The 25769-nt window shown below is 49.0% G+C and overlaps 2 protein-coding genes and 1 long non-coding RNA gene across 27 annotated transcripts in view, besides 5 other annotated features; 2 read left to right on the top strand and 1 right to left on the bottom strand.

Moving 5' to 3' along the window:
* COL16A1 (collagen type XVI alpha 1 chain) overlaps nucleotides 1–8068 on the top strand; it is a 51755-nt gene extending 43687 nt beyond the window's left edge. For all 15 annotated transcript variants that reach the window (XM_047446435.1, XM_047446431.1, XM_017000339.2 and 12 more), the window contains 9 exons: nucleotides 1367–1417; nucleotides 1754–1843; nucleotides 3263–3298; nucleotides 3887–3931; nucleotides 4829–5017; nucleotides 5473–5539; nucleotides 6288–6464; nucleotides 6655–6732; nucleotides 7478–8068. In XM_047446435.1, coding sequence (XP_047302391.1) covers nucleotides 1367–1417; nucleotides 1754–1843; nucleotides 3263–3298; nucleotides 3887–3931; nucleotides 4829–5017; nucleotides 5473–5539; nucleotides 6288–6464; nucleotides 6655–6732; nucleotides 7478–7680 — 936 coding nt within the window. In that variant the 3' untranslated portion in view covers nucleotides 7681–8068. The remainder of the gene's footprint in view (nucleotides 1–1366; nucleotides 1418–1753; nucleotides 1844–3262; nucleotides 3299–3886; nucleotides 3932–4828; nucleotides 5018–5472; nucleotides 5540–6287; nucleotides 6465–6654; nucleotides 6733–7477) is intronic.
* PEF1-AS1 (PEF1 and COL16A1 antisense RNA 1) lies at nucleotides 162–16195 on the bottom strand. 4 transcript variants are annotated; one of them, NR_184311.1, is made up of 6 exons: nucleotides 16035–16195; nucleotides 15485–15619; nucleotides 8343–8482; nucleotides 4146–4379; nucleotides 3270–3434; nucleotides 162–677 (listed from the first exon to the last, which is right to left on the bottom strand). It is a non-coding gene; the product is annotated as a PEF1 and COL16A1 antisense RNA 1 (long non-coding RNA). The 4 variants fall into 4 exon arrangements; NR_184313.1 differs by having other exon boundaries at nucleotides 4287–4379; NR_184312.1 differs by lacking the exon at nucleotides 4146–4379 and having other exon boundaries at nucleotides 162–633.
* Nucleotides 1140–1641: an enhancer, noted in NCBI's record as "H3K4me1 hESC enhancer chr1:32124291-32124792 (GRCh37/hg19 assembly coordinates)". NCBI's record gives its function as "activates a minimal SCP1, AML or CMV promoter by ChIP-STARR-seq in primed H9 embryonic stem cells {active_cell/tissue: H9 hESC(primed)}" and the evidence as "EXISTENCE:reporter gene assay evidence [ECO:0000049][PMID:30033119]".
* Nucleotides 2072–2310: a silencer, noted in NCBI's record as "fragment chr1:32123622-32123860 (GRCh37/hg19 assembly coordinates)". NCBI's record gives its function as "represses an EF-1alpha promoter that drives an FKBP-Casp9 reporter gene in an ReSE screen in HepG2 liver carcinoma cells {active_cell/tissue: HepG2}" and the evidence as "EXISTENCE:reporter gene assay evidence [ECO:0000049][PMID:32094911]".
* Nucleotides 14955–15725: an enhancer, noted in NCBI's record as "NANOG-H3K27ac-H3K4me1 hESC enhancer chr1:32110207-32110977 (GRCh37/hg19 assembly coordinates)". NCBI's record gives its function as "activates a minimal SCP1, AML or CMV promoter by ChIP-STARR-seq in naive H9 embryonic stem cells {active_cell/tissue: H9 hESC(naive)}" and the evidence as "EXISTENCE:reporter gene assay evidence [ECO:0000049][PMID:30033119]".
* Nucleotides 14986–15325: an enhancer, noted in NCBI's record as "active region_648". NCBI's record gives its function as "activates an Ori minimal core promoter by ATAC-STARR-seq in GM12878 lymphoblastoid cells {active_cell/tissue: GM12878}" and the evidence as "EXISTENCE:reporter gene assay evidence [ECO:0000049][PMID:35858748]".
* The window catches only part of PEF1 (penta-EF-hand domain containing 1), a 15011-nt gene continuing 4696 nt past the window's right edge, over nucleotides 15455–25769 (top strand). The window contains exons 1-3 of one of the 8 annotated variants that reach the window (XM_017001681.2): nucleotides 15455–15490; nucleotides 24809–25109; nucleotides 25388–25665. In XM_017001681.2, the coding sequence (XP_016857170.2) occupies nucleotides 15467–15490; nucleotides 24809–25109; nucleotides 25388–25485 (423 nt within the window). In that variant the 5' untranslated portion in view covers nucleotides 15455–15466 and the 3' untranslated portion in view covers nucleotides 25486–25665. Of the gene's footprint in view, nucleotides 18732–24808; nucleotides 25110–25387; nucleotides 25666–25769 lie in introns of those variants that run through there. The other 7 variants (NM_012392.4, XM_011541745.2, NM_001359651.2 and 4 more) reach the window with 7 other exon arrangements.
* Nucleotides 15566–15635: an enhancer, noted in NCBI's record as "active region_647". NCBI's record gives its function as "activates an Ori minimal core promoter by ATAC-STARR-seq in GM12878 lymphoblastoid cells {active_cell/tissue: GM12878}" and the evidence as "EXISTENCE:reporter gene assay evidence [ECO:0000049][PMID:35858748]".

The following is a 25769-nucleotide window of genomic DNA, read 5'->3' as shown; positions in this document are numbered from 1 at the left end:
CTTGGGGGACTTGCTGATGAGCTGGATTGGGGTTGGGGAGACAGAGTGACAGAAAGAGAAGAACCAGGGGTGACTCCTGCATTTGACTTGGGCAACTGGGTAAATAGGTGGTGTGTTTCCCAAGATGGGGTGACTTGGAGAGGACATTTATCAAGCAACAATGAATTTCCTGTCTACTTTACTCATCACTAACATAGATGACTGCCAGGCAGTGCCTTTGATCAGTGTGACGGCACTGAGCTGATGGGACTCCAGAGAAAAGCGAAGATACTGGCATTTTGTTGCAGCCCTGTTGTGGCTGGCTGCATAATAATTTCCAGGAGGCTTTCGGAAATGTTAAAAATAGTTCATGACCAAAAAAAAAAAAAAAAAAAAAGAACTCTCAGGCCCCCATCACTATTTTTATGCATCTCAAGGGGTCCAGAGGCCCTGGATTGGGAATGCCATATCAAGCCTGGTTCCCCCTCACATTACAGATGACACGGGGAGGTGCACTCAGAAGCGTGGCCCCATTGGAGACTCAGTAGGGCTGAGGTTGAGGGGGTGCAGGGTTCCGCCTCTCTCTTCCGTGTGTCCAGCCCCTTCGTCTTGCAGTGTGGCAGTCTCTGTGCTGGACACTTCCACCCCAGGAGACTGGAGATGAATAGAACAGAGGCTATGGCTCTGGAACGTGCCACCTGGGGGTGTTGAGGGAAGCACTATAAGAGAGACCCAAGTGCCCCGGGGGTTCAGAGAAGGTGTCACTCTGATCAGGGAGGTGATCTTTTGCACCACAGAGGCATGGATGTAGGCATCAGAGCTAGGGAAGGGCATTTCAGACGCAGCCCTAGTGCAGCAGCAGGGACTGTCTGGGTGTTGGAGTCCCGTGCGCTCCAGTGTTGGCCAGCAAGTGTTAGCTCCTTGTCACTATGGATGTCGGGGTCAGTGCCAAGCCCCTGCCCCTCACCCCCTGCTACACGGACCCCCAGCTTCTGGTCTTCCCTCCTCCATAGAACAGCAGGAAGTAGACTGCCTTTAGGGAAGCAAGGGTCTCAGTAGCCACCTAGGCCAGGGAGTAACTCCCCCAGGCCTTTGTCCTCTGCACTTGGCCTCTGGCCACGGCTTTCAGATCATCCCCCTCAGCACAGCCCCAGATGCTCCACTCAGCCTGGGTTGGAGGGAGGGTCCTGTGTGCCCAGGACCCCCAGGCCTCAGCTCTGGGCGCAAATCTTGTCCGAAGCTCAAGTGCAAGACCAGAGCGAAGGAAGGTTTCCAGAGGAAATGGAGCTGCTGAAGTTTAGAGCTTGTTTCTGCTGTCAGGCCCTGTGCCTCCCAGGGGTCTTACTATTAGAACCTGTTTCTATCCCACTGACTCATCTCTCTTTAGGGGCCACCAGGGCCTCCAGGCCAGCCAGGACCAGCTGGGATCTCTGCAGTGGTGAGTAACATGCTCCACTCCTTCCTCCCTCCCAGGAGTTTTGCCCTGCTTGACTGTGGGCTCCATTCAGAGGAAGCTGGGGGGATGGAGAACAGTTTGTCTCATCCCCTCCTTCCCTGGTGTCAGCCTCTCCTGCCTCCAAAGATCTCGCCTTCCAGGATGTGGCAGAGGGCTTTGGAGAGGGCTGGAGGTCATCTCAGAGTCCTGCTGCAAGTTCAGGCAGTGCCACCTCTCCCTGTAGTCCCTGGCACACGATGGGGTGTCTGTCTCTGGCTATATGGGAGTCCACTTTGCCTGCTTTCCTCCCCTCTCACTGTCCCCCTTCCTATTCTCTAGGGTCTGAAAGGAGACCGAGGAGCCACCGGAGAAAGGGGCCTTGCAGGCCTCCCAGGCCAGCCCGGCCCCCCTGGACACCCTGGCCCCCCAGTAAGATCCCACATTCTACAGCATAGCCCAGGGGGAAAGAGTCAATTGGCTCAAGGCCTGTTGAGCACAGCACAACATATCTGGGGTCTCTAAGGAAGGAGAGGCTGTCAGCATGGCAGGATGGCAGCGTGGCGTTCGGGCCTGAGGATCATGCTGAATTTGGAAGGATAGGCCCTGCAGTGCTGTGCCAGGCTGCACATGAGGTCACTGCCCATGACGGTGCCTCAGCATCAACCTTCTGCAGACCCCTTGGCTACGTGTCCCTGTTCTGCCTCTTCCCCTTCCCCAGGGGAGCTTGTCAGTAACCACAGAAAATCTTGCTAAATGTCAGGAACCAGAAATGCAGTGCTGTTACTGTAACTTCCTGAGGTCCTCGGAAACCAGGACTTGGTCTCAGCTCACGTTTAACACTAAGAGCGCTGATATATCGGTCACCGATGTGTGCCGAATGGTGGACTAAGTGCTTGCTGTGCATTTTATCTTAATCTGTGCCGCAGCCCCATTTAGTGGATCTGATTGTCCCCATTTTACAGATGAGGAAACGGGGGCTCCGCAAGGTTAGGCAGGTTGCTCGGAGTCACATAGCTAGTGAGTGGAAGAGCTCTGACTTGATCCCAGCCTGCCTGATTCCAGAACTCATGTCCTTAGCCACTCTGCAAATCTACCTCTCTCAAAAGTTCCAGACAGGTGAACCCTAACAGGTGCAACTGATTGCCAGGGTCAGGGATGAAAAGTCTCCTGGGAGAGCAGAGGCAGGGACCCAGGTCTCCTGGGACCCATCAGGATGCTTTCCATCAACGCAGACTTTTTCTGGGGGGCAGCAGCAGTGACCGTGGGGCTGGTGGCCTGGGCTGGGGTGTTTGACTCCAGTCAGCCCATCTGCCAGGCGGGCCCAGTCTCACCACGCCTATTCGCTCTGATTCCTGCCAAGGACCCTGCCTCCCTCCTTGCAGGCTCAGGAGCCTCCATGGCCCCTGGATGAATCTCCCACTTGCCTAGCAATCAGAGTCCTCTTCCCCAGCAGCCACCAGAAGAGAGGCTGCCTTGCTGGTCTCAGGGAGGGGGCCGGCTCAGGCTGTTCATGTGTTCATTCAGCAAACGTTTAACATAGATTCAGAGCCAGGGAGTGTGCAAGGTGCCAGGATCCAAGCACACAGCAAGGCAGGCACGGTCTGTTCTTCCCTTGTAAAGCTCTTGTAGACGGGGGCTGGGAGCTGTTGGGGCTCTGGGATCACGCTGGAGTATGGGGTGGGGGTCTAAGTTTCCACGGCCTGTGCCCAGATTGTCAGAGGGTGAGGGCTGGAGGATCGTGGCCTCTGGGTGGAACAGGGGGCTGGGCTTGCCCCATGTACAAAGTGAGGCATCTGACACCAAACTGGGTTGGAGCTCCTCATGTCTCCATTGCTCTCTACTCCCCAGGGCGAACCTGGTACGGATGGTGCAGCTGGCAAAGAGGTACAGTTGTACTGGTCTTCTCTGTTTCCTTGGGGGTGCTTCTTGCTCCTCGCCTTGCCCTGACCCCTCTTCATTTTTTTCAGTAAACATTCCTTCTATGTACGGGCTGTCTCTGGAAATTGTTAACCCTGTTGTCCTGGGGAGAGGAATTAGAGACTTGAGGCCAAGGATGGGAGTGAGATTTGTTTTACCTTTTTTTTTTTTTTTTTAAACCCTGTACCTGGTCAAAAAGAAACAACAACAACAACAATAATAATGATAATAATAAATTCCAAACAAACATCTCCTGGGTACCAGGTCTTTCCAGGCCCCCCAGTATGCCACAGACTGGCCCTCTCATTCTGACTTCTCGCCTCTCTTCATCTGTGATGGGGGCCCAGCCAACATGCTTAAACAAGGCCATGCCCCAGAGGACATTATTTTCCCTTCCAGCTGGGCAGGGAGGCTGCGCTCCTTTCTCACACAGAGCTGGGCTGGACACACCTGGGGGCCTCAGGCTGTGGAAGGGGCCTCTTCACTGCACCTGCCTCCCCAGGGAGCCTCAGAGATGCTGCCCGGACTTCACCTCTGACTTTTGCTTTCCTCTAGGGACCCCCTGGAAAGCAGGGATTCTATGGACCTCCTGGTCCCAAGGTGAGTGGGCACTGGCTGGGCTTGAGAGGAGAAGCTCACGAGTGGATGAAGCCCAGCTGCAAGTTACGGCTTTAGCCACAGAGAGGAGACACAGGAAGGCCAGTGGGCAGGGGGCAAAAATGCAGAACTTGGAGCAGGATAGTGTCTGAAAATTTCTCACATGGGGTCATTAGCTGTGGTTGGGGGGAAGGAAATCTCCAGTTCATTTACTCACTGATTGACTGATTGATTCATTCATTGTTTCCATTTCCCGAGCACTCCCTTGCTCCTGCTCACATTCCAGGCCCTTGTCCTGGCCTCAGGTAAACAGAGGTCCCTGAACAATAGGTGCTCACAATAGACCAGTCACACTTACACTAGGGATTGGCAAGTTTTCCAGAAGACATGAGACATAGCGCTGTGGGATGAGAGGGAGGAGCACCCAACCCAGCCTGGGGAGTCGGAGAGGCTGCAGAGAGAACAGGAACACTTCAGCTCAGGAGGGGTGCACTGGATAGAGAGAGATGAGGGGAAGGGCATTCAGGACCATAACAACATGGCAGAATCAGAGAATCATCACCAGTGAGGTCTGGTGGGAGGCAGAGGGTGGGGAGAGGAGGCTGAGGAAGGAACGATCAGGACCACATAATGAATGGCCTTGCATGCCCGGCCAACGAATGAGTGCTTTATCCTGAGGACATTTGGGAGCCATCAGAATTTCTAAGCAGGGAGTAACACCAGGAGAACTGTCTTCTAGAAGGACCACTCTGGGGCAGTGAGGTGGAGTGACCTGTCAGGATGCTGTGGCCACAGTCTAGAGGGAGACGCTGGGGGCCTGGTGGGAGGGTGGAGAGAAAAGAGCAGATTGGTGAGACATCATGATGTAAATTTGACAGCACTAAGTATCTATCTTTGTAGGGTGATCCAGGAGCTGCAGGACAGAAGGGCCAGGCAGGAGAGAAGGGGAGAGCCGGCATGCCTGGTGGACCTGGCAAGAGTGGTTCCATGGGGCCTGTTGGGCCACCGGGCCCTGCAGGAGAGAGAGGCCACCCTGGAGCTCCGGGGCCTTCGGGGAGCCCTGGCTTGCCTGGTGTGCCTGGCTCCATGGTAAGGGGGAAGGCTGGCAGCTGTGGGCACTGTCCCATAGAGCAGGCATGTGGGGTGGAGCTCGGATCATCTTCCAAGCTCCTGCTGACATTCTGTGGGAAAGAGCCTGGCTCCCATAGAGGGCAGCTCTTAACTGTGTGCGGAAGGGTGGGGATGATAGGACCCTCTCCCCAGAAAAATGCACTTAAGAACAAAATGTTTTGTATCATATCTGGGTGGTTAGGACTTTGGATTGAGAATCTACGGAGGTTGCTGTGAGCCAAGATCGCGCCACTGCACTCCAGTCTGGGTGACAAAGTGAGACTCTGTCTCAGAAAAAAAAAAAAAAAAAAAAAAAAAAAAGAATCTGTGGGAGGCTCCTGGGACCTTTGCCTTCCTCCCCATCCTTTATTTCCATAGGGGAAAATGCCAGGCTTGGAAGTATAATTGAGGCAGGTTTTCTTCTCTTTCTTCAGGGAGACATGGTGAATTATGATGAAATCAAGAGGTTCATCAGACAAGAGATCATTAAAATGTTTGATGGTAACTGGCAGCCAGCTGGGTGGCAGTGGGTGCTGTCTGCCCTTCCTTGTGACTTCTCTGCCCTGCCTTGGCCTCTTTCTCCTTAACGCTCAATGTCCTCCTGCTCTCACCCTCCACACACTCACAGGCCTGGGGTTGACAGGCAGATGTTCAATTATCCTTCAGACCTTCCTTGTCACCTGTTCTGTTCAGAGATAAAATGATTCCCTCCTGCATTCCCCGAGCCCCCACTTGAGCAAAGGAGACAGACAAGAAAATTGGTATTAAACGAGTCTGCCTGAAGTGAGCTCTAAATACAGGGGCGAGCGGCACTGTAAGATGGCTGGGGTGGTTTATTTGAAGTGTTTTTTTCTGTTCATTTGTTCATCCAACATTGATGTGCCAGGGACTGGGGAAAACACAGGCCCTGTCCTGAAAGGGCTGGACGTCTTGCTTGGGAAGCAGACCTTGAATGCCAAGCAAGGAATGCGGACTTTATTCTGAAGCCAGCGGTGAACTAATGAGGGGTGTTGGAGCAGAGATGCCATAGTCAGATCTGTGCTTTGGAAGGATCTCCATGGGGAGCGACGTGGAGGCCAGGACGTGGGAACCCCCTTGCGAGACCCACCCCCATACTCCTTGCCCTGACATCCCTGTGAAGGAAGGCTGCTGTGGACTTCATGCTGGTGGCCTATATGCAGCATCTGCAGTCATTCTGAGTCCCTGGGGGACCCTCTGACCTGTCCCTGTCCTTGTCCTTTTTTTACAGAGAGAATGGCTTACTACACCTCCAGGATGCAGTTCCCCATGGAGATGGCGGCAGCTCCGGGACGACCAGGGCCTCCAGGGAAGGATGGTGCTCCGGGCAGGCCAGGTGCTCCAGGGTCACCTGGGCTCCCTGGTCAGATTGGCAGAGAAGGACGGCAGGGCTTGCCAGGAGTAAGAGGTAGCTCTGCCCTACAGTTCCCAAGGGACACATGTAATTCTTTGGGGCAGGCCTAAGTATTCCATGAGGTCTGTTGTGAATATGGGATGTATGTGTGTGTGTGTGTGTGTGTGTGTGTGTTTCAAGTAATCTGACTGGCTGTGTCATTTTTCTGCTCAGGGATAGGACTTATTTATTTCTTTTGTTCCAGGATTGCCTGGTACCAAAGGTGAAAAAGGGGACATTGGTATTGGCATTGCAGGAGAAAATGGTCTTCCCGGCCCCCCAGGTAGGAAATACCACCATTTGAGACCATGAATCCAGAGCAGCAGAGACCCCTTTTCTTTCTGTTTCTTCTATGACACAGCTGTGTCAAACTCCAAATAACGACAGGCCAGTCAACCACATTTATAGGAATGCCACTGTGTGCAAGACACTCTGCCAGGGCCTGTGGGGATGTGGGGGCGGAAGACTCAGTACCTGTCCTTAAGTCCTAAACTGGGCTAGCATGATGCAGTAGGAGAGAGCTGCATGGAGGTGGGGATGAGGAACTCGAGTTCAAGTTCTACTCAGCACCTCACTGGCTGTACACCTTGAAGAGGCCACTTAAGCCCTTTGGAAGTGCTCTCTACGATGAATGTTTGGCTATATAGCCTGAAAGAGGATGGCCAAAGCCTGATGACCTGGCTCTGAGACCCAGCATCACAACTTACCAGAGGTGCAACCTCTCTGAGCCTGTGTCCTCATCTACAAAATTAGACAATAGCTTCTTTCTCAGGAAATTGTGCAGATTCAATGAATAATGCATCAAAAGCACTCAGCCCTGTGCCTGGCACATGGAAGTTCTAAATAAAACTTGCCAGCAGTATTGTTATTGTTAAATCAACGTGAGGATCAGACTAGGTCTTCATGAAAACATGTGGTAACTTGAGAAACAGTCATCAAATGTAAGGTATTATTTGATGCCATTATGGCTTCTTTTCCCTTATGATCTGGGTCTTCTGATTTTCCCTCTGTGGCCCTTCCCTCCCTAGGTCCTCAAGGTCCTCCAGGCTATGGCAAGATGGGTGCAACAGGACCAATGGGCCAGCAAGGCATCCCTGGCATCCCTGGGCCCCCGGGTCCCATGGGCCAGCCAGGCAAGGCTGGCCACTGTAATCCCTCTGACTGCTTTGGGGCCATGCCGATGGAGCAGCAGTACCCACCCATGAAAACCATGAAGGGGCCTTTTGGCTGAAATTCCCCACCTGCCTTTGGATGAAAGACTCCGTTGGGAATAAATGGCCAAAGCTTATAGGACTCTGTGACAGGTTGTGAATGTTTTTTTTGTTGTTGTTGTTGTTTTTAATTGCTGTTAATATTTTTTAAATAATAAAGAAACAAAACTATCTGCCCTTTCCCTTCCAGTGGGTTCCTCTGGTGCTGCAGCCAGAGCTCCCTGTTGCCCTCCTTTTCCCGTTTAGTCCCAGGAACAAAAAAGGGCATTTTGGGTACAGGGGCATATACCTGTAATCCTAGCTATTCAAGGGGCTGAGGTGGGAGGATCGCCTGAGCCCAGGAGTTTGAGACCAGTCTAAGCAACATAATGAGACTCAGTCTCCGAAAAATAAAAATTAAAAAATAAAGGGTATTTCCCTCCTTGCCTGTGGTCAGCCAGTGGTGCTGTGAGATTCTGCTGGATGGGGGCAGCTGATGACCCTTTGCTCCTCGGGATCTTGTGCCCTGTTCTTCATGCCTACGTCTCTTGAGTTAGAGAAGGAGCATCACTCAGCCTCTTCTCTCAAGTGAACCAAAGCACGTTGGAAGGTCCCACTTCCTGCTTTAAAGGTCCCTCCCTATTTGATTCCCTAAAGAAACCCGTGTTCAGTACCCCACCCACTCTTTGCCCATCCACTTCACCTTGTCAGTGTGACCCAGAGCCGGTCCGGGTTGCACCCTGGGAAAATGCCACCCGGTGCTGAGGTGTGTTCATCTGCCTGGAAGCCCTTCCAAGCATGCAGGCACTTCTTGATGCTCCAGTAATTCTGTGATTAGAATACCTGTGCAAACAGGAGAGAAGACAGGCTCCAGCTCTGTCCTAGGCATCCAGGGAATGCTTCTCTGGGAAATGAGATGGAACCTTCTGCCTGTACCAATGCATGGTCACTAGCTCTCTATAAGTGCTTCCAGCAATGACTTTCTGGAGGGCAAATAACATCTCCTGTTTTTCTTTATTATTCTAATATACGTGGTACTTTTCCTGTACATCTTAGCCTAGGCCTTTAGAAACAGCCAGGTTGTATCAGTACAAAGAGTTCATGGGCAAGCCACGAGCAGATCTAAGCTCACGGTCCTCAAAGTCCACTGGGAGTTTGGTGATCTATCTGTTGTGTCCTTCTCCCTATGTAAAAAAGGCTAGGAAGGGGAAAAAAGACAGTGAATTGAATATTATAGAAACATTCTCTCTTGAGCTTCTTCCTTCTCTACTTTTTAGATCTCTTGTCCTGATGGGCTGGCTGCCCTGTGAGAAAGCAACAAGGCACTTCCAGGGGGATTTCCAAAGAAAGCTTTTTCACTGGCCCCAGCTATCTGGAAGGTTTATTCAAGTTGGATACACTTCAAAGGACTCACAGAGCAGGCTCAGAAATGTACCCAAAGTCTAGATGCTTATCCAAACTGCCTGAAGCCTTCAAACCGGCTGTCAAATCTCTGCAGAGCTGGTATTTCTAGCACATTTCTGAAAACTCCCTTCTCTAGTTGGGTCCCAAATACCAGGAGACCAGCCTATTGATGGCTTTTCAGAACCTTTGCCCTATTTTTTTTTTTCCTGCCAGGAGCAAAGGTGTGCTGGTGGCCAGAAGAATGAAATCAGACTCCTGAGCATGCCCGAGTGTCTCATGTGATGTTTTTAGATAAAGGAGGCGCTGATTCTTTTTTCATCCCTCCCCAGCTATTCTCAGTTAACCCTGGTTCTAACATAAAACATTAAAAAGCAAAGGCATCATTTTTGTACTGAAGTAGCAGCCAGGTTTTGGACAGTGGAAGAGGACAGATGTTAAAGCACTCCCATTGGAAGGCCAGCTTCCTCTTTCAGCCTAGTCTGCCGAGTACTAGCTGATGATAGGCCTTCTCATGAGGAGCATGTTGGCGCTGGCAGAAAGAAAGAGACGCAAGGACCAGCTGTGGAATTGAGCAGGTTGGCTTTGAAGGCCAGAGGGGAAAAACTGCTATGAGGAAACATCCAACTCATCCCCTTTAAGGGTCACCAGGGAATTGATCCTTATAGAGTAAATGATGCCTTCTTCACTTTTCTTCCTGAGTCAAATTCATGCTACTCTTAAGGGATTCTACGACAGGCTAGGTTTAAGCTTTCATGATTTGAATGCATGTCTCCCCGGAGTTTGAAATTGCTGTATTTTCTTGGACCATGAAGAACCAGATGGAAAGCTGAATTTTATAGTCTCTTCTGTTACTGTGGTCAGCAAGAAATCCATGGATCTTGCTCATCAGTTCAGGAGCTGGGTAAGCTGAAGAGAAAGCAAGGAGGGGCATGTGTCGTCCATTCCTCTTAGGCAGCTTTTGCACGTTCCAACCCCATTATCCTTCTGTCTTCATTTCTTAACCTACTCCAGGCTTTCCAGGCAGCACACAGATCATTCAGATTGGAAAAGTCTAACTTGATGAGTCCATTCCTCTTCCTACTTTGTCCCAGGGACTGTACTAGGCTCTGGGGATCCCAAGGCAAACTAGACAGATATGGTCCCTGCTCCCACAGCATCCACAGGGAGAGCAGACAGTTAAACAAGCACCTACAATAAAGTGGGATGATAGGGCAGTGCCAGGTACAGGGGAGTGCACAGCTGGGGAACCTAACCATGTCTAGACGAAGAGATGGATTCAGGCAGAGGGAACAGCACGTGCCAAGGCCCAGAAATGACTGGTTGCAGCAGGCTGAGTGACGGGAGACAGGACAGTGTGATTGGATTTTGGAGCATGAGCAGGGAAGACAGTTGGAAGCCACTGGTGGGTTTCTCACAAAGGTGTGTCAAGTCAGGTTTGCCGAGTGGGGAGTTCGCTGATGGCAGTGTGAAGGATGGGACTGGAGGGTCCTTAATTTGAGAAACCCTCTGCTCAATAAGATGGAGAAAAGGCTGCTGTGTATTTATTCTGCAGAGAAAAATCTAAACTTTGATGCTTCTGGAATTTAAATCTTCATTTTTTGTCATAATATTTTCCTCTGTCACTCAAATTCAACAGAATCTAATTAGACTCTTTCTTCATCTGGGGTCTGTTAACCCCTTTACAAGACTAGTTTTTTTTTTTTTTGGAGGTGGGGGGACAGAGTCTCACTCTGTCACTCAGGCTGGAGTGCAGTGGTGCGATCTTGGCTCACTCAACCTCCACCTCCAGGGTTCGAGTGATTCTCCTGCCTCAGCCTCCGGAGTAGCTGGGACTACAGGCACAAGCCACCATGCCCAGCTAATTTTTGTATTTTTAGTAGAGACAGAGTTTCACCATGTTGGTTAGGCTGGTCTTGAACTCCTGACCTCAGGTGATCTGCCTGCCTCGGCCTCCCAAAGTGCTGGGATTATAGATGTGAGCCACCGTGCCCGGCCATGGATATTTTTTTTTTTTTTTTTTTGGTGCTGGAGATCCCAAAGGACTAGATCTTTTTTGTGGCTGTCCTGAACAGTTTATGGGAATAGACGATGTCAACGTACTCTACTTATGATCCCATAATGGAAGGGGAGTGTGGCCAAATTGCCACGTCTGCTGTTCTCATTCCTCTGTTGCTTCTGTGGAAAGTTGCAAATCATCCTCTGATCCACAGCATCCAACTGGAATTTAAATTTCAGAACTGGATCTAGTTGGAATCAAAGAGAATTAATTCCATAATAATTAGGTGGGTGTTGGTATTCCTTCTCAGTAAGCCTTACAGAAGCTTGGTGCGAGCCAAGTGGCTCCTGGGAGGCTGTGTCTCTAGGGGAGGCAATATTTTCCAGTGGATGGGCTTTTCATTACCAAGCTCTGCCTCACCCCTAATGGGTCAACCGCAGGGCTTCCACGAACTCAGGAAAGTGCTCTGTGTTCTAAAAAAAGTCTGGAATCCATGCTTTCCCCTTGGGCTACAAGTGAAACAATAACAGGAACTTCTCCACCCACCTCTGTCTGCCTCAGGTAGATGAGGTTTTGGAAGTGAGTTGATTGTTTTTCAGTCTTAGGAAGATCCTGATCTCTCTTTTATCCAGCCCCCTCCAAAACAAACATACCTGGGCCTGTGTGGGTCCTCAGAGGCACAGCCCTGGCTGTTGGCTTTGGCACGTTCCTGACTCCCTAAGAGAAGATGTGGATGCTCCATCCACGAAATAGCACAGACCTCCCACAGATAGTTCTCCTAAGCCCTTTGCTGGGCATAGGGGAATGGGGGCAAATAATTCTCATAGGAGTTGGATTCTCATCACCTAGAACAGAGCCTGGCAAGAGGTGGGAACCCAATGGGATCATATGTTTGTGGAATAAATGAGTGTGTGTCACATGACTCCAGTTTGCAGGCCAGCTTGTCACTGTTCTCTCTCCAGGCAAATACCCACTTGACCTTCAACCTTCTTCCCTTCTGAAGTTTTGCAGCTCAATTCCACCAATATTTTTTGAACTGGGGGGTTAGGAAGGTAAAGAAGACACAATCTACTAACTATTAAATACTGAGTAGTTAAAAAAAATGCAGACCTGGGATCAAGTCCTACTTCTCCATTTATCTTTTTTTTTTTTTTTTTTTTTCCCCAGACAGAGTCTCTCTGTTGCCCAGGCTGGAGTGCAGTGGTGCAAACACAGCTCATTGCAGCCTTGACCTCCTGGGCTCAAGCAATCCTCCCACCTTGGCCTCTGGAGTGGCTGGGACTCCAGACACATGCCACCATGCCTGGCTAATTTTTTAAAACTATTTTTTGTAGCGATAGGGTCTCACTATGTTGTCCAGGCTGGTTTCGAACTCCTAGGCTTAAGCGGTCCTCCTCCCTGCCTCCCAAAGTGTTGGGATTATAGGCGCGAGTCACTGCGCCTGGGCTCCATTTATCTTTTTGATAACAGGAAGGTCACTTAACCTCTCTGAGCCTCAGCTCCTCATTATAAATGGGTAATAGTCTCTATCTCAAAAGACTGTGGTGAAAATTAAACAACACATAGTACTTAGCACAACGTCTGGCACCTAGTAAGCACTCAATACATGATAATAATAACTACTAACATTGAATTCATGCTAGGCACTATTCTAGGTGCTGAGGTTAGAGGACTACATAAGAAAATGACAATTCTACAATATACATGTAAACAAAGTGGACAATTCAACTAGTGACATGTATTATGAAAAAATAAGATAGATGATGGGAATGCTTGGGGGGCAGTGTCAAGAAACTCCCCCCACCCCAGGTGATATCTGAACTGAGACCTGGATGATAAGGAGAAGCCAACCAGTGAAAAGTCAAGGGAAGACTATCCCAGACAGAGGGAAAAGCTAGTCCAAAGACCTGGAGGCAGGAATGAGCAGGCAGTCAGAGACCAGCCAAAGCCAACATCCAGGAATGAGCTCTGTACATTCCAGGAATGGCACAACCAGGCCGGCATGGCTGGAATGAGGCAAGGGGGACAGCAACAGCAAGAAATGAGGCTGGAGATGCTGGTATGTGTGGCCATGAATGTCATTAGGATGAGTTTAGCTTTTATTATAAGAGTGATGGGAAGTCCCCAGGGAGTTGAAGCCAAGGAATAAGATAACCACTCTGGCTGCCTGTGGAGAAAATGAAGCGTGGGGAGAAGAGTGAGAGCAGGAACATTGGTCAGTCGGCTATTGTAGTGATCCAGGCACGGATGATAGTGTCTTGGACTACAGTGATAGTGCGAACAGGGAGAAAAGAGCAGATGTGTACATGTTTGAATTAGAGCAAATGGAGATGAGGGAGGTGAGGGAGTGTGTGGAGAAAAAAAGGACACACAGGAATGATCTTAGGTTTTTGGCCTGAGAGACTGGGTGGATTTTCTGAGATGGAGAGGAATGGGTTTTGGGGAAAACACCAAAAGAAAACTCTTATACAAGGCAGGCTGGAATACCACACAGTGACAGTACCAAGTGCAAAGGGGGAGTGGCAAGAGAGAGTGGCTAACTCTGGAGCTAAGGGGAATGTGGGAGGGTTAGGTGGAGAATGGAATTGGAACTGAGCCTTGCAGGACTGGAGTTGGGAGGGCTGCTGGTCCAGGTGAAAGGAGTGGTTTGAACCTAAGTTTGGGGCATGAGCAGGTATAATAAGCTCATTTTCAAATTTACACATTTGTTCCTGTCAGCTAAGAAAAGTGAAATTTAGAGAGGTTAAATAACTTGCCTAAATAAAATGTGGTAGATATACACTGTGGAATACTATGCAGCCATAAAAAAGGAACAAGATCATGTCCTTTGCAGGGACGTGGATGGAATTGGAAGCCATTATCCTCAGCAAACTAACAGAGAAACAGAAAACCAAACACCGCATGTTACCACTTATAAGTGGGAGCTGAATGAGGAGAGCACATACACCACTGGGGTCTGTCGGAGCGTAGAGGGAGGTGGGAAGAGGGAGAGCATCAGGAAGAATAGCTAATGGATGCTGGGCTTAACACTTGGGTGATGGGATGATGTGTGCGACAAACCACCATGGCACACATTTACCTATGTAACAAACCACATCCTGCTCATATACCCCTGATCTTAAAAGTTGGAAATTAAAAACAAACAAACAAAAAACCTGCCTAAGGTGATACAGTTAGAAAGTGATAAAACAAAGATCCTCCCTCCAAAGCAGAAGTGCTGAATGGTGGAACTGAGCACAGAAATACAGAGTAGCAGAAGGGGCCGTAAGATTGGAAAGTTGAGGCTGGGCCAGATTCTGAAGGGCCTGGAGTACCAGAATGAAGAGATTGGGCCTTATTTTGTAGGCGTGGATGAAGAGCATCCATTGTAGGCTGTGTAGTGGGCAAGTGGCATGATCAGCACTGTGATTTTGGAAAGTGCACTTGGTTAGATAGATGGACTAGACTGGATAACAGTTCGTAACATTCATTTATTCATTTATTTTAATAATCGTGTCAGTCGCTATACTAGGTACTGGAGTTATAATGACAAGCAAAAACAGACAAAACCCTAGCCCACATGAAAGAACTTGACAAAGAAATCAAATAAGCACACAAATAAGTGTAGAAACGGAACCACTGAGTGGCAAGTACATGGTGCTGAGATCACTCGGTCACCAGGATTTGACCTACGATGGGGACCGACCTAGACCTCCCTGCTGAGAACTGGACATCCATTGACCCCGGTTCTAGGCGACCCACTGTGAGCTAGGGCAAGGCAACTGCCTCTCTGCACCTCAGTTTCCCCATTTATGAAGAAAGAGGCACTAGATAATTCAATTTTCCTCCAACTCTAATGATCTGGGGTTTTTTTCTCCAAAGACCACAGATCTGTATCCCACTACAAGGGTACTAACTGGTACCCAGTACCTTGACATTAGAGGAGTAATTCCGCCATCGCCTCTCCCTACCGGGAAGAGTCGGTCGGTTCCCCGTTGTCAGGGCAACCGCCTGGCCACCGCCCCTCGTCTCCTTTCCCGCGGCTCATCTGCGGAAACTCAGGAGCTACTCCAGCAATTACGTCACTATCATGCGTCCCATTTGCCAGGTTATAACATGGCTACCGCAGCAACACCCCACCCAGGCTTCTCACTAAATTTCCCAACCTGACCACCTCTTCGGCCCACTCCACCTCAGGAAAAGGAGGAACATTAGCGCTGGTACAGCCGCCAAGACTTCCGGAAGCTCCATCAATCACTTAGCTCCCCTGGTCTCTCGGGTAGGCATCCGCCCACCGCCCCCATCGTCACTTCCGTCGGCCGACAGCACCCAAGATTGACAGGCGCGGACGTCCAATCAGATGCGGGCCCAGCCCCAAAGCCGAGACGAGGGGCGGGTTTGAGAGCGGAAAGCCCCACCCCTTGCCTGAGTGTGACGTCAGAATCACCATGGCCAGCTATCCTTACCGGCAGGTGAGTGTGTGAGGGGCCCGCGAATCCAGGTAGCGGCGGTGCCAGGCGCAGGCCCGACGTCCCCCTGCTCTTTCTCCCCGCTTTCTCCGCGCCCTTCCCACGATGGGTTCGCTTCAGCGAGGCCTTGCGCTGTAGAGAACCGAAAAGGGACCGTCGGTCGCGCCCTGCTCACGTCATGAAGGACCGCACATTCGCGAGGTCGTGTCGCGCCCCCTTGACGTCGCTCACTCGAGGATTTGGGGACCTTGGACCCCACAGGTCCAGGCTGGCGCTGGCCTGGGCTCCACAGCCTCCCAAGGCCCTCATGGGGGCCTTGGGCGGGGGCATCAGCCATGACCGGAGGTTTAGAGTTCTGGTTCCGCCGATCTCATTTGGGGCGTCGGATAAAAATCCAGGCTTCCGGACCCACCCCACACTGCATCAGAGTCATCAGGAAACTCTGGTTGTAGCAGGCGCCACAAGTGAGCTGGTTTGACCACTGACTTAGTTCAACACCGCCATTTCGCGTGTAGAAAAGTGAACCCCGAGAAGACACAGAACTTACCTGAAGTCACCAGGCAGTTAGGCAGCAGGGCCGAGGTCAGAACCCGGGCTATCTTCAGATGCCTCTTCCCCAGCGTATCTTGATTCAGTCAGGAATACCGCAGCAAGGTGATTCTGTGGCCAGAATTCTTTGTTGGGTGATAGTAGGGTGTTGAAGTGCACTTTGGTGTCAGAGGTAGGTTCATATCTTAGCTCTACCACCTAAATAGTTGTGAGCCCTTGAGCAAGCTGTTTTGCCTTTCTGAGTCCAAGTTTCCGCCTGTAAAATAGGGCCGAATAATAGGATCTGCCTCATAAAGCTGTTGTGGAGAGTCAGGAGGTGATGCTTACGAAGCGTTTGGTACATAGTGAGGTGTAACATGTGTTGCCCTTTAGCATTTTGATTTTTAGTAGACTTCTAAAAGGCCAGTGCCCGGAGGGTCCTCAAAATAGAGCCCTCATTTTACAGAGGAGGAAATGAAGCCCACAGAGGGCTGCGATCACACAGTTATTTAGGAGATGAAATCCATAAACGAAATGTGGGAAAACAAGATCAATTGGTATATTACACAGTGCTCAACTGAGTTTAGTCACAGGCCAAAAGATGTAACAGTCCTTCCAGGGAGTGCAGTCTTGTGCGGGTTACACAGTGTTTGGACCTCCATTATCCTAATCATGAAGTCCCTATCGGCATGCAGGTATTATTACCCCTAATTAACTGCTGAGGAGCAAACCCAAAGAGGTTAAGTGGCTTCCCAAAAGTCACACGTAGTAAGTGAGGGTGAGGCCATGACCAGAGCTTAGGACTTCTCTTATTGCATCCTTAGAGAGAGGTAGGAAAGAGAGAGGCCAGTGCGGGCTGGAGTTAGGAAGTGTAGCATAGCAGTTGCTTCCTAAAGTCCATTCCATTTGCTGAGTCTTGGGAGGTTTTAATAGATATTGTTAATATAGGAGGATTCTGTAGTTAACTAAAGTTTTGGAAATACTCTTAAGTATAGCTGAATAAGTTTATTGACCACAAGCTATTTCAGAATCCTTAATTTGCTAATGTACATTGTAAATCATCCAGAAAGGAATATAATATGCAGTATTTCTTAAACATATCTAACCATAGAAACTCCGCCTCCCGGCTTTCTTTTCAGATGTCTGGTCACTTTTTTGACTCTAGTATTTCTGAGGAACACAGGCTGAAAAAACATTCATAGCGCCTTGTTTCCCAGTGGCTGGTCTTCTGCCTCAGAATCAGCTGAGAGCTTGTTTAAGAAAGCACACTTTTGGGTCCCACTTCAGACCTGTTCTGTACCCAGGAATCTACATGCTAATAAGCATTAGGGACAATTGGTGTGCATCCTAAAAGCAGTGACAGGTTAGAGAGAACTGTGCTAGAATTCTAGCTGTATTACTTAATAGTTATATACCCCTGGACAAACTAAGGGCTCTGAGCCTCAGCTTCCTCACCTGTATAAAGGGAGAAATAATACCTGTGAAAAGGGCTAAAATGAGGTTAAAATGCAGGGAGCCTGGCGTGTTGCTAGTGCCTAGTACATGCCAGTGTCTGGTGGCAGCTCTTGCTGCCGTGACTGCTCTCATGATGCCATGCTGCCTGGGCTATTCCTGGAGTGAAATACTGAAAAGGAGCACAGAGAGAAGAGTCTGGAATAGAAAAAGAAATGTTGTTTTTTTTTCCTACCATACCCTTGTCCGCCTCCTGGTCTCAGGTGTTCTAAGAAAGGAAACGAGTTGTTTTAAAGCATCTCAGTCAGTGCTGCCTCCCCTCCACCCACTACATAGCTTTGGAGGATTCCAGCCTATTGTTAGGAGTCAGAATTCCTGTAATTTTCCACTGCTTCCAGTCCAGGGTACCCAAGCAGGGACTGGGTATTGGAGTAGTAAAATTCAAGCACCCTTTGGTCCTATGGGGGAACGAGCTTGGTGGATTTCAGTGCTTAAGAGCTTAGTTTTTGAGGCCAGAGAGAGTTGATTTCAAATCCCTGCTTTGTCACTCCCTTGCAGAAGTTTGTTGCAAAAGTCTGAGACTCAGTTTTCCCTTTTTTGAAAAAAATTTTTTATTTATTTGTTTATTTTTAAGACAGAGTCTTGCTCTGTCGCCCAGGCTGGAGTGCAATGGCACAATCTTGGCTCACTGCAACCTCCGTCTCCCGGGTTCAAGCAGTTCTCCTGCCTCAGCCTCCCAAGTAGCTGGAATTACAGGCGCACGCCACCACACCTGGCTAATTTTTTGTATTTTTAGTAGAGACGGGGTTTCGCCATGTTGGCCAGGCTGGTCTCAAACTCCTAACCTCAGGTGATCCACCTGCCTCAGCCTCCCACAGTGTTGGGATTACAGGCGTGAGCCACCACGCCTGGACTAGTTTTCCCTTCTTTAGAATGGGGTCATAATAGTATCTACCTCAGAATTACTCTAAAGATTAAATGAGAAAATCCACGTAAAGTGCTAGGTATGGTGTTGGGCATGTAGAATACTCCAAGTGGAGGAGTAATGCAGTTATGCAGATTGAAGAGGCAATGTGATAAGTATTCAATGGGAGTAAGTGTAAGGTACAGCACGGGAGAGTGAGATACCTAACTCAGTCTAGGGGTGCATTTTTAAAAGAGGTGATATTTAAGCCAACAACTGAATCACTGGTAGAAATTAGCTGAGTGAAGAAAGGAATGCTATTCCAGCAGAGGAAATAGCTGCACAAAGCCCATGAAGCAGGTAAGACAGCCTAGTATTTTGGAGGAACTTTAAGAAGTTCAGTGTAGTTGTAGTGATGTGGGGGAAAGGGGTAGGAAATAAGACTAGAAAGGTAAGCAAGGGCCAGATCCCAAAGGGCCTTGTATGCCTTTTTGGGGAGTGTGACTTCATCCTAAGAGTAGTGAGGGAGCCAGTGAAGTGTTTTGTCCCATTTGTGCTTTGGAGTGCTTACTGTGGGGTGCTGTGAGAATGGATTGAAGCAGGAGAGACAGGAGGCAGGGATACCGGTTTTGACGCTATTGAGGTAATCTAGGCTAAAGAGAACTGTGACCTGGTAGAGGAGATTTGAGAAGCACTTGGGAGGTAGATTTGAGAAAACTTGGCCTTAGGTTTGGATGATTAAGCAGAACGGAGCTCCATTCACTGAGATGAGAACACAGGGAGGCATGGGTTTGGAGGGAAGGTCCAGTAGGCTGCTGGATATGTGGGTCTGTAGCTCAGGAGTGATGAAGCTGGAAAGATTTGAAAGTGTGAGCACAGAGGTAATTGAAGTCTGGGGATGGTTCTTGGCTCATTGTTTATTGGTTGCGTGCTTCTCTCCTATTTCAAGTGGCTCTGCTGGTGAATGCTTGAACTGTTCCTCTTGTCTTCCTGTGATTGTTTAACCCCTTAGTTTGGGCTTCCCACCTCCTCCTGTGCACTTGAAGGGTAGCTCTGGGGTACAAACTTGTCTTTGCAATGCTCCCTCCTCCATTCGTCATCAGGGCTCAGCTTGGAACAGCCGTTGATACCTTTAAGCTTCACAGGGGTCTTGAGGTTAGAAGACTTGAGTCCTCAGAACTGGAAAGAAAAAAAAAATACCGGACTTTCTGAGGTGGTTATTTGGGAGGAGGTAAGCTCCCTACTGCTTGCGCAAGTGCAGGTAGAGATTCCAGGTGGTTCTGCAGAGATTCCATTATTAACTGAGAGGTTGAACTGAAGAGTCTTTGGGGTGTCTTCCAAAATGTGGCTTGGCTCTCAAAGTGACTCTAGGTGCTGGGACGAAAAAGAATGAGATTTTTCTAAGAGTCCCTGATTTCTGGGCTTGAAGGCTCTGAGAGATCACCCAATCCAGCCTTCCCCTCTACCTCTGTCCACAGTAGAAATTCATTATATTTGACAAAGACATTTAGCACAGTCCCTCACACAGACACATGCTAGGCACTCACTCATTTATTGAGTGAACAAACAGAAGGGGGTAGTGTAGAGTCATGCAGACCCTGACTTGAATCCCAACTTGCCCATTCTAGCTGCATGATCTCAGGCATGTTATTAAACTCTCTGCCCCTTAATTTTCTCATCTGCAAAATGGAGATGACACTGTTTACCTCACAGGACTGAGGATTAGTGAGAGCTGGTTGAACTGGAAGCACCTAGCAGAGCCTCAGTAAATGTTTGTTGCCCCCAGTCCCCCCAGGGCATCAGATGTAGCTTATTTGCAATCAGCCAGAGCCCTAGAGATAGTTTTTCTGTGTTGCTTCAGAAGCTGCAGTTACTGAACTCTTCCTGTCCTTCCCCTCCACCTGCCTTCACAATCCTGTTTATCAGTATGAAATAACTCTTGGAAAAACTCTAAAAAGGGCTGGGAGCATGGAGTAGTGTAAAAGAACGTGGAGTCAGGGATGCTGTTTTTCATTTCTGGTTCAGACCTTTGCTAACAACTCAGTGACACTGGGTGACCCTCTGTGAGGTGGGGACCACCTCATCTTCTTCCCCAAACTTCCTGTGCAGCCTGCATTCTGTCTCAGTTGGCTCCACCTCCTTCATCTTGTGCAAAAGCTAGAAACCCGAGTCATTCTGAACACTTTCCTCACTCCTCCTCCATCTCTTTCCTAATCTAATTAGTCACCAAGTCATGTCTGGTCTATCTCTGAAATAGCTTCAGAATCCATTCCGTTCTCTTCATCCCCAAGTGTGCTGTCTGGTTCATGCCCTGCCTGCCCAGCACCTGGGCTACTGCCTCCCTCACTGGCTCATCCTCCACACCGCCGCTGGTTACTTCTCTAAACAAGGTTCTCATCACGTTCCTCTCCTATTGGAAACCCTTCTATAGTGCTCTGTTTTCTCCGGCATAAAGCCCCAACAAAACTCTTTAGAGTGGTGTTCATTTGTCCAAATATTTGTGGAGGCTTGCAGGTGCCAGGCACTGTGCTGGGCCCTGGGGTGCCATGATGAGTGAGGCGCAGTGTCTGCCCCTGGGGAGCTTACTGTTGGGTGGGGGAGATGCTAGACAGAAACTACTCTTAGACACTGATACCTCACGGCTAACTGAAATGCAGGGGGAGAGGTGCTTGGTCAACGAGTGTATAGAGGGCCTGCCTTTCTGGGTTCACACTGCATTCTTGGCTCTGCGGTTTAACTCATTCCCTGAATGCACTATGCTCACTCTTAAGTCTGTGCGTTTGTCTTTCTTCTCTCTTCTGTCTGGAGTGTCCTTCCCTGCCTGCCTTTTGGAAAATGTCTATGCATCCTTCAAGGACCATTTCCAATATCACTGCCACTTCCTCCAGGAAGCTTTCCTTGACCCACTTCATACATTGTTCATTTATTCATTCTGCAAACAGCACAAATTCCTCCATCTAAGCTTCCTTGATAGCACATAAGTAGATTTTTCTGATGGCACTGATCAGATTGTATCACAATTATCTGTGGGCCCCTTAAGGGCAGGACTTCATTTACTTGTGTCCTCAGATCTACTACAGAGCCTAGTACAATATTGTCACTCTGAAAATGCGTGCTGAATGAAGTCCTTTAACAGCTCCGTGGCTTAGTTTCTTCATCTGTAAAAGAGGGCAACTAACATCTTCCTTTTTTCTGTTAGGAGGCCATTGGCAAGATTCTGCCTGTAGTGTTTGTGTTTGTGAAAGTACTTTGTAAACTACAGAGGAGGTCTTCAAATGCAGGACAGAAAGGAAAGGGTTTAATTGCTGCCAGACTACAATAGCCAGAAGGGCAGGAGACCTGCCTGGCAGCACCTGCTTTGTTGGCCTGGGGATGTTTCCTAGGTGGTTTATAGGTGGTTTCCTAGGTGGGTTTTCCTAGGTGCCAGGTGCGGTTTATAGCTTTGCTCACAGGGCTTATAGTGGGGCAGCTACTTCTGGCTTCGTGTCTGGCCTGTTCTTTGGGTGTGCCCAGATTCTGCAGAGTTCCCACTCCCTTTCCATCCTATGCTGGAATCCTGAGCCCTATTGCTTAATGAAGGAGTGTTGTAGCAGGAGGCAGGGGGAGTCATTGGGTGCAAGGGAGTGGTCCAGCCTTGTCTCTTCCTCCAGCTCACAGCATTACTTGGGCAAGTCCCTCCCTCCCTCCCCCATCTGTAAAATGGGGGTTAGGTTAAGTGACTTGTCTTCTGGGTATTTCTCTTGTCACACCTCTCCAACCCCTTGGGAATCCTGTTCGTTCTCTAAGTCCTAGCTCAAATGCCACTCTCATGGAAACACTCCCTGATTTTACCCTCCTTCCTTTGCAGTCCTATGGCACATGACTTATGTCTCCATTTCAAACACCTGTTTTCCTTATGCTGTTTTGTTAGACGTTACACAGTGTCTACATGTTAAGTCTTGTTAACTGTGAGTGCCTTCAGATTGCTTCACTCTCCTTTATACCCCACCCCGCACAGTTCACCTGGCCCAGGACTTTGCTGATAACAGTAATTAATATAGCAATAGCAGCTATGACTTACTGATCATTTGCTTTATGCCAGGCACTGTTGTAAAAACTATTTTTCTTATGTGAGTGGTTTTCAGACTGTCTTTTCAGTCACTGTGAGGGGTTTTCAGAGCCCCCTCAGAATGTAGCAAGGGAGGGGGTTCCATATTGTAGGGGCTCTGGAGCTCCCACCTTACTTCAGCCAGAGCAACTTTCTTGTATTTGTTTTATTTATTTTATCAAAGGATTCTTTCTTTCTCTCTCTCTTTTTTTTTTTTTTTTTTTTTTTTGGAGACAGGGTCTCCCTCTGTTACTCAGGCTGGAGTGTTGTGGCACAATCACAGCTCACTGCAGCCTCCAACTTAGGCTCAAGTGATCCTTCCGCTTTAGCCTCCCGAGTAGCAGGGACTACATGTGTACCACCATGCCCGGCTGATTTTTAAAAATTTTTTGTAGAGGTGGGATCTTACTATGTTGCCCAGGTTGGTTATCAAAGGATTCTTTAGCTAAAAATTAAACTGACAGAATTTTGCTGCATTTATTTTTTATAATCTGCAGAACAGTCCAGTGAGGAAGGAATTGTTCTATTTGTGAGGAAGCAGGCTCAGAGAGATGAAGCCACGGGCCCACAGTCATGAACTTAGCTGATGGGAGCAGAGTTTTAAATTGAGATCTGTGTGAGCCATTCTTGTCTGTGAAGGAGTCTTGCTAGTAGCTATGACAGCTTCTAGGGTAGAAAAGCTCCCAAGGATTGCTGAGTGGGTGACAGGGCCTGCTTCCTGCCCTCCCCACAAAAAAACCTCATGAATTTGGCCTTAGCCTTAAGAGTAATTATTTCAAGCTATCAAACACAATAAAAAGAGAAAGCCCAGGCTCTCAGTGGCTTGGCCACTGGTGCACTTACAGGTTGATCTAGAACGTATCTAGATGGTGCCGTTCTCGGAGCTGGGCCTAGCTGCTGTCTGTGCCCTTGAGCTCAGCTTGTCTGCAGATGTGTTGGGGCTGTGCTCTGCTGGGTCCTGTGCTAGCCATTTAGGGAGATGGAGCGGAACACTCCGAGGGCTACTGGTGTGGGAAGATGGATGAGAGAGGGAATGCCCCCATGTATGCTCTAATGCACAAATGCCCTGGACATAGAGCCAAGAGACCCAGGTTCTGGTCCCAGCCCCTCCACACAGCCTGTGTGTGACTTTCCTGGACTTGAGTCTTGTCCTCTGTAGGAGGCTATTATTAATAGTGTTTATTGAGTGCTTAATTTGTGTCAGGCCCAATGTCAAAGGGCTTCACATAGCTGGCCTCATTTCATTCACAAACTAACCTGAGAGGTAGCTATTATTATTCCCATTTTATAGCAGAAGATGTTGAGGCTTAGAGAGGATAAGTCAGTCCAGTTAGTAAATGGCAGAACCTGAACTTGAACTCTTGAACTGGTTGTTTTTTGTTTGTTTGTTTGTTTTGAGATCGGATCTTACTCTGTCACCCAGGCTGGAGTACAGTTGTGTGATCATGGCTCACTGTAGCCTCGACCTCCCCAGGCTCAGGTGATCCTCCCACCTTAGCCTCCTGAGTCATTGGGACTATAGGTGTGCGCCACCACACCTGGCTAATTTTTGTATTTTTTAAATAGAGATGTAGTTTTTCTATGTTGCCCAGGTTTTTAGTAGAGATGTTGTTTTTCTGTGTTGCCCAGGCTGGTCTCTAACTCCTGGGCTCAAGCAGTCTGCCCGCCTCAGACTTCCAAAGTGCTGTGATTACACAGCTGTGAGCCACCACGCCTAGCTGTTGAACTGGCCTTTGAAAGCATTGTATCGTATTGCCTTAGGAATAGGGTCTCCCCTGCCTGCCTCACAGAGTTGTGAGTGAGGATAGGGAAATGTTTTTACATCAGGGTAAGGAAGACATGCTGTGGATGAATCCATGCTATAGCTATGTCATTTGTGACTGATGAGGGTCAGGGGTGTGTGTTAGAGACTGCGTTTGCCCCATGAGTTCTGCAGATAGAGATGGGAGTACCACAGGATGGGCATTTGGAATTCTGTTTGATTCATTTGCCTATTCATTCATACAGGAAATATTTACCAAGTATCCATTCTACACTGGGAGCTGGGGATAAAGTGACAAACCAGACAGGATCCTAGCCCTTGTGGAGCCCCTTGATGTGCAGGAAAGGAGAGTTAGGAAAGGAGGATTTCAACCCTGACTCTGCAGGTCATTGGCGGGGTGACTTTGGGTAACTCGTTGCTCCTCTGGAAGCCTCAGTTTGCCCATCTGAGCAGTGAGATCATAATTCCAACCCTACCTATAGGATCAGTTGAAAGGATGGTGGTGGAAGTGCTTTATGGTTGTAAAGTGCCATACTCTGCCTAGTTTCTGGCCTCATCATTCTGACTGATATCTTGCTCTTCCTGCAGGGCTGCCCAGGAGCTGCAGGACAAGCACCAGGAGCCCCTCCGGGTAGCTACTACCCTGGACCCCCCAATAGTGGAGGGCAGTATGGTAGTGGGCTACCCCCTGGTGGTGGTTATGGGGGTCCTGCCCCTGGAGGGCCTTATGGACCACCAGCTGGTGGAGGGCCCTATGGACACCCCAATCCTGGGATGTTCCCCTCTGGAACTCCAGGAGGACCATATGGCGGTGCAGCTCCCGGGGGCCCCTATGGTCAGCCACCTCCAAGTTCCTACGGTGCCCAGCAGCCTGGGCTTTATGGACAGGGTAAGTAGTAATCTTGGACTCCGGGTACCTCTGACGTGGTTCTGAGTTATCCATGGCCAGCCTTTGTCCTTCCTGTGGGTGTGCAGGCAGCCTGGTCTCTGGCACCTTAGCATCTTGCTTCCAGCTTCAGTGTGTATCCTCAAAATGATAAGTTTGTCAGCTAGTTTTGTTGCAAGCATTTATTTGTATTGCTTGCTCATGCTTACTTTCTTTTGCTTACATGTCAGCAGCTGTTAGCTGGCTGTTGAGTTTCTGTTCCCTGTGTCTTTTTCATTCAGGGATACATGCTGAAGGAGCAGCTCCTGTTTGGGATATGTTATCTTTGTGGCAGAGAGAAGGAGCAGGAGAGCTAGCAAGAATGCACAATGCCTCTTAAAGCTTCTCTGAAGTACTGTATGTCTTGCCCACTTGCATTCTTTTGGCCAGAGCACCCCCTGATCAAGACTGACATCAGTAGGATGGGAAAGGATGCCCCTCTGCAAGCCACCAGGCAGTGGGAGAGGATGTACAATGCTCTTATAGGGAAGGGGAGATTAGCAAGTAATCTAATAATAGATTATTGAACTGGCCTTTTAAACCATTGTACCATATTAGTACAATGTCTGTGGGTGTGCAGACTGTGTCTCCTGGCTAGAGATTATTAGCCAGGAGACGATAATG

Source organism: Homo sapiens, chromosome 1 (assembly GCF_000001405.40).
Source record: "Homo sapiens chromosome 1, GRCh38.p14 Primary Assembly".
Taxonomy (NCBI): Eukaryota; Metazoa; Chordata; class Mammalia; order Primates; family Hominidae; genus Homo; species Homo sapiens.
The sequence above is the reverse complement of the archived record's forward strand: the minus strand, read 5'-3'. Positions and strand labels throughout refer to the sequence as shown.